This window comes from Homo sapiens, chromosome 1, assembly GCF_000001405.40.
Source record: "Homo sapiens chromosome 1, GRCh38.p14 Primary Assembly".
NCBI lineage: Eukaryota > Metazoa > Chordata > Mammalia > Primates > Hominidae > Homo > Homo sapiens.
Genome location: NC_000001.11, coordinates 109806128 through 109820364, shown reverse-complemented (window position 1 = coordinate 109820364; position 14237 = coordinate 109806128). Strand labels below are relative to the sequence as shown.

Sequence of the window (14237 nt, the reverse complement as noted above, 5' to 3'; positions counted from 1 at the left end):
CTTAAATGTTGAGTGGCTGCAGGACCTAAATGTCCTGAGGATTCAAATCCTCCAAAAAAAAAATCAGGACGTGTCTGACCACTCTCATTAGCTGTACCCCTGACCAATGCCACTCTCCCCACCCATCCTTGCCTTGGCTGGGGACACCAAGCTGAGGACACTAAGCTACCTGGAGATTCCAGCCTGGGGTGAAGACCTCTCCTGTGCCTACCCCCAAGACTTACCCCAAAGCCTCACCTACTCCTCCCCCTGTTCCTCTTTCAAGGGCAAGAAGGAGGCCCAGGCAGAAGGCAAAGAGGGAAATCCCTAGTTCCCCAAGCATTGCGGCTCCGGGAGGAGCCCTGGGGATTGAGGGTGAGAAAAGCAGCCCAATGACCTCTAGGGCCAAGAAGTAGAAAAGACCACCCAAAATGTCTAGTGGGGGTAAAGGAGAAGGTAGGAGGGAATGAGTGGGGAAGTTGTGCTAAGAACGGAGACTATGAAGTCAAACTACCCTGACTCAACTCCTGACACTGGCTCTGGGTAAGACCTTCTTTCTGAGTCCTGGTCTCCTTGTAGGAGAAGTGGGCTAACGGTGGTGCCTATAAAGTGCTCAGCACAGAGCCTGGCAGACAGAAGTGCTCAACAAAAAGCAGCCGCTGCTGCTGCTACCAGGACTGGGGAAAACGGCCCCAGCCTGGGAGACTCTGGGCAGGTCCCTTTTCATCTCCAGGCTGCAGCCATCCAGGCTGTACAACAAGATGGGCCCACCCGCCTCCTGGGTTTGTGGCAGGAATCAGTGGATTCGTGGGCAGAAGAGGTCCCCACAGTCACACTTAGCCTCTCTGCCCAGGCCACCAGGCCCAGAAAGCATGTGCCTGTTCCCAGCTCCTGATCAGCCACAGAGCCACAGGGAAGATGGGAGACAGGGCCATGTGGCCTGGCCACTGGCTTGTCCCTTTGGAAGCTCTCCCCACTGCCCAGCTGCCCAGGCTCTTACCCTTGACTTTTTCCCTCATGCCTGGCCCTATCCTCCCTCTCCTTTGTATCCCCAGAAGTTGGTCCCTTTCTCTGCTGAGAGTGCTTGCCTGCTTTACTTCCTTCTACTAGTGAGGCTGGTGACTGTGGGGCGTCTTGATATCTCATGGTCTTACTTGCAAAGGCTACAGTGTTCCATGACTATTTGGATTCATCAGAGCCATTGTCTGGGGCTCAGGGAGCAGCTCTTCAGCTATCCTATGCACCTCGTCCACACCCTACTCTGCCTCCCACAAATGGGCCTCACAACACAGGGAGTCAGGATGGACTAGGGGGCCAGCGCAAGGGTGAACACTCAGTAGATTTACGTCGGAGGTGCAGCTCATCCCCTCACAGCTGGGTGGCCTCTGTAGAGCTGGGGTGTCCCTTCCAGGATGGATGTGACTTTGCTTTGCCAACAGCAAAGAGGCATGTGAATGGGAGGCACGTCTGTCACCCTTTGGGGTGGCCGTCTGGAGACCTGAAGAGGAGAAAGGGGTCTCTGTCTTCTCTGTGCCCAGAACCAGCTGAGATGGGGCTGCTGAGCCTGCCTAAAGGGACAGAACAGAGCCAGGAAGCAGGGGAGGCAGTGCCCAGACAGAGGTCACAGGGCAAGGACAACACTGGAAATGCTTGTCCCCAACAGCAGAGTCGAGGAGATGCAATCTTTTCATTACATGCTCAGGCTTCCTGGGCTGCTGGCCAGGGTATACGCAGCCCTCAGCTTCCTCTACAGGCCCAGCAGGGACACTGCCTCCCTCTGCCCTGACCCCCTCTGGGAAAAGAGGAGTTCTGGGACCCCAGATCAGAGGCAAGGAGGCAGCAGACCCAGCTGGCTGAACTTGGAGCTCTCATCTCTGGGGTTGGGGGTGAGAGCAGAGCGATGAGGCCCAGACCAGTTCAGGACTCCCCCACAACACACCCACTTGGGCTCTGCCAAGACCTGGGTGGGGCTGAGGATGGGAGGAGCATCAGTCCTGCCCCCTGGAACATCCAAACCCCCTGGTCCAGGTTTTCTGAAGGCAGGACTCAATGAGCTCATGGGCCTGCCATACCCAGCCCTGTGTAAGATAACAGGGAGGCGTGGGTTCTGTGGGTGAACTAGAGAGTGGAACTTATCCTCTCCCCAGGAAGACACTTAGAATTTTTTTTCTAGTGTGCTATTTTTGCTGGACCAAAAAATGTGTCTGCCTGTCCAGGTCAGAGCTGCCAGTCTGCAATCTCTTCACCTGGTTTCCTTTTACCTCCAGAAGATCCCAGTATCCACACCCCCAGCCCCATCTGAGTCCAGGTGAGCAGGGGCCCCTCTCTGATGGGTCCCATAGGGCAGGGCTCTGCCTTTCCAAGAAGGGCCTTTCCATGCGATGTTCCTTCAAGGCTCACAACTCTGAGATGAGTGTTTTAATCCCTATTTCGCTAGTGAGGGAAGAGAGGCAAGCACAGTGACAAAATGACAGGAGTTGCTGAAAGTGAGCATTGGATCTGGCTGCTTGTGGCTTGCTGTCTCACAGAGAAAACACAGCAAACCAACTTGGATTTGCAGATCAGTTATGGGTTTTAGAGAGGGATTTTTTGTATCAAAGCGCATCCAATCCCTTGGTTTACAGAGGGGAAGTCTGGGACACAGAGAGAGTGATACCTCACCTCAAACTTGGGAGAACGAGGACTAGAAGCCAGGTCTCTTCACTCCAACTTCTAGGCTCTGTTCATGTAAGACATCAGGCCATCCCTGGGCAGGACAGAGAGAATGGGCACCTGTTCATTTCACCCCAGGGCCCTGGGGGAGGCCACTCGTCCTCCTCCTGCCCCTCTCCCACAGGTCCTTCCCATGAGGAGAGGAAAGGAGGCTGCTCCCCTTCTAGTCTCAGCACCCAGGACCATCCTCCGCTCTTGTGGGCTATTTATCCACACACTGCCCAGTAAATGTGAGCAGAATGGAACCAGCTTCACCCCACACCCAGGCCTGAGGACTTTACATTGGTTCCTCCGGGACACCCATCTGAGGTCTGTGCCCAAAATCTGAAGGATAATTCCTCACCCTGCTCATAGTCACAGGCTTTGCAATGACCCCAGCAGGAAGAGAATATGGAAGGCACTAAGGTAGAGTGTGTGCTGCTGGGAGACCTCTCCAGGCAATCACAGCCCTGATCTCAAAAGACCTCAAGGGCCCACCGGGGGCAAGCCCAAATCAGCTGCCCAGGACAGCTCGCTTTGCACAGAGAAAGGCTTCCCCATCCTTCCTCCAGCCAGCCAATACAATGCAGGAGGTAAGAGCTCTGATCCCAGAGCCCTTCAGGCTGGGTTCAAACCCCAGCTCAGCCACTTGGTAGCTATGTGCCCTTGTACATGTTCTTAACCTCCCCATGACTTTGTTTTCTCATCTGTACAAGGAGGATAATACTAATAGCTACCCCACAGGACAGTCATGAGCAGTGTATGGGTTAATAAACATTCCGTGCTTGGGACAATGCCTGACAATTATAAGAGCTATATAAGTAATTGGTTGATTATCATTGTTGTTATTATTTTCTGAACCAAGAGAGACTATGGATATCAATCAAAGCAGACAAAAACCTAACACGCTGCGGGAGGTTCTGTGGAGGAGGGTGCAAGGCCTGTTGGGTAAAGGAGTGTCACCATCCACAGGCAGGTGGCTCACCAAGGGGATTACATCAGGCAGAAATTGCCATTAATAGCAGTTCCCTCTTGGGCCAGACACAAGCCTACAGAGCACGAGGAAGTGAGAAATTTTACTATTGCAAGAATGAGAAATATTACTACTGGGCAGAATTCCATTTTTAGAACCTGGGAAGTTATTTTGAGGGTTGGTGTTTTCATTTTTTTTAATAGCCTCTGCACTCTAACAATACTCAGGGCAAGAACTGCTCTGAGGAGAAACCAGGGCACAGTGGGGAGCCCTGCCAGCCTCTGTGGTTGCTGGGCAACCCCTCACCACCAGCCAGGCTAGTGGAGAGCAAGAGTAGGCTCCACATCCACACACCCCTCCTCACAAGTGCCAGAACTCATTAGATAAGCCCCTCTCAAGGATGTCTAGAGGAAGCAGCCTCATTTTCTTTTCAGCCTGGGCAGCTTGGAGTGAGGAAGGCAGGCCCTCAGGAAAGAGCACGCTGAACAGCTGCAGGCCAGCCTCACTTTTGACAGCTATGTCAGGTTCCTGTGGCTGCTGTCACAGATCGTCATGAATTTGGTGGCTTAAAACAACAGAAATGGATTCTCTCATAGTTCCAGAGGGCAGAGAAGTTCAAAATCAGTATCACTGGGCCAAAATCCAGTTTCAGTCAGGCTGCACGCCCTCTGGAGGTGTCGTGGGAGAATCTGTGCCTGGCCTCTTCCAGCTTCTGGTGGCTGCCAGCATTCCCTGGCTTGTGGCCACATCACTCCAGTCTCTGCCTCTGTAGTCACATGGCCTTCTCCTCTTCTGTTTTGACAAATCTCCCTCTGCCTCTCTCTTAAGGGTATCTGTGATTGCATTTAGGCCCTACTAGGATAGTCCAAAACTATCTGCCCATCTCAAGATCCTTAATCACATCTGCTATGACCTTTTTTTCCATATAAAGTAACATTCACTGATACGAAGGGATTAGGATCCAAAGTCTTTGGGGATTATGATTCAGCCTACTACCCATGCCGACATCTTCCTCTAACAAAGCAGACCAGCAACTCACCACTCCACCCCCTGGCATCCTGGCCCAGTCACTCTTCACCACCTGGCACCAGGTGGTACACCAGGCTCAGGATGACTGGGTACACGGCCCTGCCCCTGAGGCCCTACCCACCCTGGAGTTGTCTCTTACAGACCCAAAAACAGGCCAAGCAAGGCTGGAGTTTCCTGGAGCAGCAGGGGTGTTTAGCTACACACTCAGGATGTGGCAGCTCCCTTGAGGCCTCCAGTTACTGCCACAGAGGGAAATAGGGAGCTACAGACCAGAGGCCAGCACTGTAAAAATTTTCTTTAAAAAAATCTTTTTATTACACTATACAAATTCAATAAAGGAGTAGAAAAAATAGAAAATGCAAAGCCTGCGGAATTCTAGCCCCCAGGGATCATTATAAAATTTGTTGTGCAAGCAACCTTCCTTCTAGACCTTTTTCTATTCAGATAGAACCACAGACTTACAGTTTGAAAAACCACAAATGGCATTATATACTATACATTCTGTTTTTCAACCGGGTTTTTTCAATAAATGGTTTATTCTGGGTGCCTTTCATGGCAGTACATAGAGCATTTCTTCCATCTTTTTAAAGGCTGCGGAGGATCCCCCCACTCTCGGCCATGTGATTGAACCACGATTAAGTTACCCTGCTGATGGGCATTTGAATTGTTCCTAGTTTTGTAGCTGAAACCAATGTAGTGAGATAATTTAGGGAGAGACTAATATCTGACTAGTTTACATTGTTACAGGAGGCTCACACAGACAAGGAGGCATTTTTCTCTCACCTCCATATACCACCTCAACAGTACCTCAAAGCAGTCAAGCCTAGGATGAAGGAAGTGAGGGCTTCCCTTGCTCCCAAGAAGAATTAACAAAATGTTGTTCTCTGAGGCAGAGCCTTACTAGACAAAGAACCAGATGGTCTGCAAGGAGGAGGGACTCTGTCTTTGTGGAGAGGCTTCCACTGCAAGCACACAAACATCTCTTCTCAAACTGAGAGAATGTATTGCCTCCAGCATCAGAAAAGCCCAGAGGCTCAGTGGGATTCAGGTATGATTTGATCTAGAGGTTTACAACATCATCAGGCTTTAGCTCATTTATCTGTAATTCACTTGGCTCAGGCTTGCTCCGTAGATTAGCTTCATCCTCAAGCTCATTTTTATCCTTGCAGAAAAAGAACTAGAGCGGTTCAGATCACATATCTATCTATGACACCTATAGGAAAAGAAGATCTCTGTCCTAATACTTCCAACAGAACTGCATTACAATGAGAACAGCTTAGGCCATGTGCCCGCCACCGAACCAACAGATGTGGTGGGAGGATAAAATATTCCGACAGAGTCTAGGTCACATGCTCCCCTCTGGAGCTGAGGTACAGATGGCTTTCCCAAAGTCAGAGGGATTTATTTTCCAACAAAAAGTGAGCTGTTAGAGGAGGGGAAGTGGGGATTTATGAGAGTTTTTATTTGTTTGTTTGTTTGTTTAGACAAAGTTTTGCTCTTGTTGCAGGCTGGAGTGCAATGGCAGGATCTCAGCTTGTCGCAACCTCCACCTTCCAGAGTGAAGCGATTCCTCTACCTCAGCCTCCTGAGTAGCTGGGATTACAGGCATGCGCCACCATGCCTGGCTAATTTTGTATTTTTAGTGGAGACGGGGTTTCTCCATGTTGGTCAGGCTGGTCTCAAACTCCTGACCTCAGGTGATCCGCCACCCTTGGCCTCCCAAAGTGCTGGGATTACAGGCATGAGCCACTGTGCCTAGCCTATGAGAGCTTTTAAGGGTGTATGGGCTTAGAGAGAAGTAAGTGAGTTTACTGGACTGTATAAACTCCACACCCCAGATGCCTGTAGAATCCCAAGGGGATTAAGACAAAACACTACCCTGTGGAGGAACAAATTCACACTGACTCCCCTAAAATGCACCATGAACTCCCTGATGTGTGGTGTTTATCCTTATTCTATAATAAATTCCTAGCAATGGAATTACTGAGTCAAAGGGCTTGCATATTTCAAACTTTAATAGATATTACAAAATTGCCCTCCAAAAATGTTTCTACCAATTTTTCCTTCCAACTATACAGCCTGTGAAAATGCCCATTAACCCACATCTTGTCAATACTAAATATTATTCATCTTTTAGCTGAACACAGTGGCTCACGCCTGTAATCCCAACAGTTTTTGGGAAGCTGAGGTGGGCAGATCACTCAAGGTCAGGAGTTCTTGACCAGCCTGGCCAATATGATGAAACCCTGTCTCTACAAAAAATACAAAAAATTAGCCAGGTGTGGTGGCACATGCCTGTAATATCAGCTACTCAGGAGGCTGAGCCAGGAGAACCACTTGAACCTGGGAGGCAGAGGTTGCAGTGAGCCGAGATTGTGCCACTGCACTCCAGCCTGGGTGACAGAAGGAGACTCTGTCTCAAAAAGAAAAAGAAGAAGAAGAAGAAGGAGAAGGAGAAGGAGAAGGAGAAGAGGAAGAGGAAGAGGAAGAAGAAGAAGAAGAAGCAGAAGAAGAAGAAGAAGAAGAAAAAGAGGAAGAAGAAAAAAATATATATGTATATATATATTTCATCTTTTTAATGTTTGCCATCCTGATAGATTTAATTTGATTTTTTTTAAACTATGGGGGAGGTTGAACATCTTTTCATACATATAATAGCTAATTATAATACTTTTTCTATGGATTACTTGCTCCTGGCTTTTTTTTCATTTTTCTGTTGGGTTGTTTATCTTTTTCTTGTTGATGTGGAAAAGCTCTTTGTAGCTTGGAGATACAAACCCTTTGTTTTATCTGTTGCAAGTATTTTCCCCAGCTTGTTCTTTGTGCTTTGACTTTGTATATAGAGCTTTTGTTGTCCAGAATGTTACAAATTTCATGTAGTTAAATGTATTAGGCTTTTCTGAGTTTCTTCTTAGAAAGGTCTTCCCCACTCTAAAATAAAAAAAAATAGTCACTCCTGTTTTCTTTCATGTCTTCTGTGGTTTCTTTTTATATTGAAACATTTTATTTCTCTGGAATTTATTTTATTATATTATAGATGTGAGGCAGGGATGCCTTAGCTGTTTTTTGTTGTTTTTTTTTTTTTTTTTAAACAGCCGCTTACGATGTAGGGACTTTTTTTTTTTTCTGAGACAAAGTCTCACTCTTTCAAACAGGCTGGAGTCCACTGCAACCTCCGCTCCCCCGGGTTCAAGTGATTCTCCTGCCTCAGCCTCCTGAGTAGCTGGGATTACAGGCGCCCGCCACCACGTCTGGGTAATTTTTGTATTTTTAGTAGAGATGGGGTTTCACCATGTTGGCCAGGCTGGTCTCAAATCCCTGACGTCAGATGATCCACCGCCTCGGCCTCCCAAAGTGCTAGGATTACAGGTGTGAGCCACGGCGCCGAGCCGGATGTAGGGACTTTTAAGATTCCAGAGCCTCTGCAACTTTCCTGTGGTTCTGATTTTTGTTAACATCTTGTTTCCAGGGAGCGATGAGAAGGAACTAGAAGGAAGGCTGGTGCTTCTCTTCAAGTCCAGGGACAGCCAGGAAAGGAGGACCCAGTGAGAGTGGGACATACTCCTCAGACGATGTTAGAAGAATGAATGCAGGGCCTAGAAGAGGGGAAACAGGCTGAGCCTCTGCAGCAAAGAAGAAGGGAGGCAGGAAGAGTCGCTCTTCTCTTAGGAAGAGTCCAGAGAACAAGAGAGAAAGACCCTAGTAGCGGCTGTCGCACCCCATGGACCCGATACCAGGGAGCATTCTGTTCTTTACTGTCTGCATTCCAATCTTCCAGCCTAACTGGGTGGGCTCATTAGTATGTGTTCCACAAGTTTTTTTTTTTTTTTTTTTGAGACGGAGTTTCACTCTTGATGCCCAGGCTGGAGTTCAATGGCATGATTTTGGCTCACTGCAACCTCTGCCTCCCAGGTTTAAGCAATTCTCCTGCCTCGGCCTCCCAAGTAGCTGGGATTACAGGCACGAGCCCCCATGCCCAGCTAATTTTTGTATTTTTAGTAGAGACGGGGTTTTGCCACATTGGCCAGGCTGGTATTGAATCCCTGACCTCAGGTGATCTACCTGCCTCGACCACCCAAATGGCATCACAGGCATCAGCCACTGCGCCTGGCCGTTCCTCAAGTATTTTTTGTGCCCCTACTCTGAGCCCAAGAAAGCATCACTGCATCCTGGTCTAGTCATAATGGAAGTTGGGACTAATGGCTCTTAGACAAGAAGAATGCTGTGGGGAATCTGCTGTGCTGCAAGAGGCAGGAATTTATCATTTTTTTTGTTTTTTGTTTTTTGTTTTTTTTTTTTTTGAGACAAAGTCTCACTCTGTTGCCCAGGCTGGAGTGCAGCTCACTGCAACCTCTGCCTCCTGGCTTCAAGTGATTCTCCTGCCTCAGCCTCCTGAGTAGCTGGGACTACAGGCACCCACCACCACACATGGCTAATTTTTGTATTTTTAGTAGAGACAGGGTTTCACCATATTGGCCAGGCTGGTCTTGAACTCCTGACCTGGTGATCCACCCGCCTCAGCCTCCCAAAGTGCTGGGATTACAGGCGTGAGCCACCACGCCCGGCAGGAATTCATCATTTTAGAAAGACTTCCTTCAAACATGGCATTTAAAATTTCGTTCTTCAGATCTGAAAAAGTAATCTTCTGGCTCTGTTAGATAAAAGAAAATGGGTGGGCTCATTGGTGCTGTCATGGCAGTGTGCTGAAGAAGAACCCTGGCCTTGTGAGACTGAATGTATGCAAGAGTCCACTGGAGAGGCTGAGAATATCGCATGCAAAGATTCTTGATGTTCTTGAGCAAAACCCTAAAAATGCAACATACAGAAAGCATACAGAACTGTTTACAAATGAGAAGCTGGTTAAAATGGTTAAATGGTTAAAGCAGAACCAGATGTTAAAAAATAAGAAGACTGACTTCAAGGTGGCCAAATAGAAGAGGTGATTCTTCAGGCTAAAAATGAATGAAGTCTGGTGAAAAAAATAATGCAGTGGAAACCATGAGACCTCTTAGCTGACGAGCCTCCTGCCAATCAGTGGAAATGGCCAATATAATCATTAAATGACTTTGGTGGGTTGATGGGAAACTGGTGTAATTAAGTGTTCTGGTATATTAAAAGTACCTCCATATTATTGACATTTTACAATCAAGAAAACCAATACAGAAAATATTTAGTTGTTAAAATTAGTGGTTACAGCAACACAATCTTGTGAATCAATTTTTGATTTGTAAATTATTCCCGCAAATTATTTCAAAGATGATATTTCTTTGAACATAAAGCTTGTGGGAAGATTTGAAAATTAATTAGAAAAATTCCTACAGATCGTCAATGCAGAGGCCAAAATCAACAAAGTGGTTTCTTTAGTAGTATCTTCAATATATCATTTAATTTTTTATTATCCTGACAAAGAAAGGGCCCTTAATTATTATTGTCTAAACAAATTGGTAAGTCACAGTTTGAAGTAAATTAGTAAGAGTGGATATTTTCAAATGTGATAAAATAGCACAAGTGGCTAGTGATAAAATTGGAAGTTACAGTTAACCTGGTTGGCTGTGATCTTACGTATAAAAGGAAAATTTAAGTATATTATGAGATACTGATTACAAAAATCCATAGTAAATGTCATTTTATTTTAGTTTTTATTTGAATTATTGTTCCATTTATTCTGTTTTCATATAGTCTTAATTTTATCACATTTTGTTGTTACTCTATTACTTTTGGAAACCATCAAATTAGAATTCATTGTACAGTTGAAGAAATTGATTTAGTACTTGAAAGAAATATTTCTTGCACATAGGTAGTTGGAAAATTTTTCCTTGGGTTGCCTTTAAGGAAGTTGGCTTTCTGGCCCTTGGCCTTTAATTTTCTTCATCAACCCAACTACATCAGAATAGAATTCTCATAAAAGAAGAGACATTAAGAGTTCTCAAAGTTTATCTGGCATATGGATAGGCTTATATTCAAAACATCTTAGTCATGTGGCTATAAATTCAAAGTAGAATCACGAAGTAGTTTTAAGTTTCTGATATGAGCATAGGTGGGTATGAAAACAAGACAAATGCTGTTCAAGGAAAAAAGTTGGCAAGCTTAAGGTTAAACAAAAGTAAAATTACTTTTCACGTGTTCTCACCTTTTCTTCCAACCTCCCTATCATTTCTAAATACCTGTTTCAATTGAACTTGGTATCTCTTTCCTTCATAGATAGTACTTTTGTGGGTTGTGTGCACGTGTGCATGCACACATTTGCATATATTTGTGTATTTTGCTGTCTTGTGGAGAAACGAAATCTTTCAGAATGAGAAAAAAATGTATTTCTTCTTTTTTCCAGTATATTTCTTCCCTCATAGACCTGTAACATAAATGCTAGCTAAATATTAAAGTGGATTGAGTTACTTCCTTTAAAAAAAAAAGGGGGCTCTATAATTAACTGTCAGGCCCGCTGGTGCCTTTCCTGGGAGGGGCTCAGCACTTCTGGCTGGGTTGCCTGTGGAAGGTCACCATTGTCAGCAGCCATCCCAGCCCCCATAGCAAGGACTGGCCATCCAGAGCTCACAAAGCAGTCAATCCCAGCAGCTTCCACAATAACATGTGTATATCTCTGTCGCTATACGTCCACATTGTTCTGGAATCATCTTTTGGGCCATCTTCCCTACTTGAAGACACTGTCATGCATCTTGGTGTGGTAGGTGCTCCGCAAAGTGCTAAATGAATGAGCGAGTCAGTGACAGTAGAGGGCAGGATGTAGTGCTGGGGATGCAGGGCTGTTCCAGGCTGAGCCTAGCTGGGGACCATGTGGGAGCAGAGGCCCAGGCCAGAGCTCAGCCTGTAGGAGGGCATAGACCCTGACAGCTCTATAGGGAGTTTTCCAAGAGCAGAGGCTTTGGATATAGGGTTGGCTGAGAAATTACCATCGTCACCTGGTCCCATGCCCATAACCCTCTATCCCCTGGGTGGGTGATCTCTAGTGGGCAGCCCCCGATGATGAATGGCAGCCCTCCCACTCTCAGAAGCCCCATCAATTGCAGGCACTGTGGGTCACTCACCTGCCTGGCATTCCCTGAGCCCTTCCCTGCTGACTCACCGTAGTCCTGGCTGGTCCAAGCTTCCCGCCAGCGGCCCAGCCAAGGCCAGAGGAGAGGGAGGTAGGAGGCCAAGGAGACTGCATCAGGACCCAGGAATGCTCTGCTGGGTGGGAGGCAGGGGGAATAACTTCCACCACTCTGAAGGGGTGACCAGGAAGTGGACTGTCTAATGGCTGATGGATGCCTCTGTCCCCTAGTCACAGCCAGGCCCTCACCAACCCCCATTCAGAGAACAAGGTCTCCCCAGGCCCTGACCCCCTGCTGAGTCAAAGCACCATCCATGGCCTGTGATGGCCCATGCTTGCCTGCCACTGTACTGGTCGTGTGTGATTGCCTGTGATATGTGTTATGCGCCGAAGGGTGTGGTTGAATGTGATTGTGGTTGTGTAGAGTGGTACAAGTCTGTGTGTGACTGCATGTGACTCAGAATCCCTGTGTGTAACAATGTCCAGCTGTGATTGAGTGCAGATGGAAGACTGAATGTGATTGCACCTGGTGCCTTATGGTTTTGTGTGATTGTATGTCATGGTGTGTTAGGCATGATCACCTGTGGTTATGTGTGTTCTAGTGCTTGTGTGGTGCTGAGTGTGATGAAGCATGCCTGCAGGTGCATGTGGCTGTGGGTGGCTGGGTGTGGCTGGGTGGGGCTGTGTATGATTCTTCAGGACCATGCACACACATGTCATCCCCCACAGAACATAGGCTGCAGACCCCAATCTTCTTGGCACAGGCACAGGCCCAAGAAGGTCAGGGGTCTGCAACCTATGTCCTGTGGTGGGTGACAGGTGTGTGCGTGCCTGCTGTGCGCATCCTCCTTTGCTAGGTTCTGCCCCTGAGGAGCCCGGACCTGCTCCCATTTATGAAAGGAGGTGGCGCCAGGCTGCACGGTGCTCTTCCCCGCCGTTACCGACCATGTTTAGAGTGTTTTCTTGGAAGCCAGGCTGGGCTTCGGGGGAATGCCAGCCCGTCTGAGCCCTCGCAACAGCTGACTCCCAGGCTAACAAAGTCTCAGCTCCACCCTGACCCAGACCCAGGCTGCCTTCCACCCTGCAGGAGCACAGCCAGCATCTCCCAGCCCTGGCCACCTGCTTCCACCCTCCCCAAACCTCATCTGGGTGCAAAAGGAACACAGGAACCCAGCTCTGCTTCTTTTCCAACCCTGAAGACATGCTTTGTAAGGGCTTTACCACTGACTCCTTGAGGGAAATCAGATGTGATAACAAAAACATCCCTGGAAGAAACTGACAGTTTCAGATGTTTACAGGCTCTTACAGGCCTGGCCCTGGGCTACTGCCTCTGGGCTTCTGTCCACTTTTCTACCTGAGGAGAGAGGGTGAACTTCCAGTCTGGCTGCCCCCAGTCCCAGGCCAGGTGACCCCACCCACGCAGTACCCTAGCTTCTTGCTGCCACCACCCCCTCCCACAGCTGAGGAAGGCCTCTGCCTCTCTGAGGAGACTCCAACTCTCAGGGCCAGGGTCCAGCCCAGAAGTGACAGGAAGGATCCCTCTGGCTTATTTCCTGCAGATCAAAGTTGGGCAACAGCTGCCCAGATGTGTAAGCCTCAAACTGCTTCTGTCCCTGCCGGGAAAGAATACACTCAGGGTCTGGACCATCTGCCCCAGCTGGTTCTGGGCCAGGCTGGGGGTGAGGGATGTGGGACAGAGTTGGTAGGAGGCTGGAGCCAAGTTCTGGAAGGAAGGGTGGCGGGAAGGAAGACACTGTGGGTGGGAGTCAGAGCAGCCTGTATGAAGAACCGGACTAGGGCCAAGGCAGACACGCTCCACTACTGACACCAGGGGGCCCACAGACTTGGGTGGGAGGGAGTGTCACAGAGAGGCAATCCTGGATCAGTGGCTCAGGTCACCGAAACTCTGGTCCTAACTTTGCCGCCTAGCAGCTATGTGACCAGAAAAAACCGCTTTCCCTCTCTGGGCTTTGGTTTATCCACCTTGAAGACTGAAAAATGGTGGAAATGAAGTATGTAAAGTGCAGAGCCCAGTGGCACAAGTAGGTGCTCAATAGACACAACTCACCTGCATCCTAAAGACAGTTGTTCACCCCAAGCCTAAGGCCCTTCCCGGCCCAGAAGCTCTATGTCTGTGAAAGAATCAGGCTTCTATTCCCACATTAGAAGGGACAGGGCCCAGCTGGGCACAGTGGCTCACGCCTGTAATCCCAGCACTTTGGGAGGCCGAGGGGGTGGATCGCAAGGTCAGGAGATCGAGACCATCCTGGCTAACACAGTGAAACCCCGTCTCTACTAAAAATACAAAAAATTAGTGGGGCGTGGTGGCAGGTGCCCGTAGTCCCAGCTACTCGGGAGGCTGAGGCAGGAGAATGGTGTGAACCCGGGAGGTGGAGCTTGCAGTGAGCCGAGATGGCGCCACTGCACTCCACTCTGCTTTGGGGGTAGGGGTGTGAGGGGAGCTGAACAGAAAGAATGGAAGAAAGCCTGGAGCATCCAGGAGTTGGGAGGGTGGGT

At 48.3% G+C, this 14237-nt stretch overlaps 1 pseudogene, besides 5 other annotated features; it reads left to right on the top strand.

Moving 5' to 3' along the window:
• Positions 3569-3648: a silencer, noted in NCBI's record as "silent region_1159". NCBI's record gives its function as "represses an Ori minimal core promoter by ATAC-STARR-seq in GM12878 lymphoblastoid cells {active_cell/tissue: GM12878}" and the evidence as "EXISTENCE:reporter gene assay evidence [ECO:0000049][PMID:35858748]".
• Positions 3819-3868: an enhancer, noted in NCBI's record as "active region_1454". NCBI's record gives its function as "activates an Ori minimal core promoter by ATAC-STARR-seq in GM12878 lymphoblastoid cells {active_cell/tissue: GM12878}" and the evidence as "EXISTENCE:reporter gene assay evidence [ECO:0000049][PMID:35858748]".
• Positions 4019-4138: an enhancer, noted in NCBI's record as "active region_1453". NCBI's record gives its function as "activates an Ori minimal core promoter by ATAC-STARR-seq in GM12878 lymphoblastoid cells {active_cell/tissue: GM12878}" and the evidence as "EXISTENCE:reporter gene assay evidence [ECO:0000049][PMID:35858748]".
• Positions 9351-10904, top strand: NDUFA5P10 (NADH:ubiquinone oxidoreductase subunit A5 pseudogene 10; annotated as a pseudogene).
• Positions 11250-11892: an enhancer, noted in NCBI's record as "H3K27ac-H3K4me1 hESC enhancer chr1:110351095-110351737 (GRCh37/hg19 assembly coordinates)". NCBI's record gives its function as "activates a minimal SCP1, AML or CMV promoter by ChIP-STARR-seq in naive H9 embryonic stem cells {active_cell/tissue: H9 hESC(naive)}" and the evidence as "EXISTENCE:reporter gene assay evidence [ECO:0000049][PMID:30033119]".
• Positions 11893-12536: an enhancer, noted in NCBI's record as "H3K27ac-H3K4me1 hESC enhancer chr1:110350451-110351094 (GRCh37/hg19 assembly coordinates)". NCBI's record gives its function as "activates a minimal SCP1, AML or CMV promoter by ChIP-STARR-seq in naive H9 embryonic stem cells {active_cell/tissue: H9 hESC(naive)}" and the evidence as "EXISTENCE:reporter gene assay evidence [ECO:0000049][PMID:30033119]".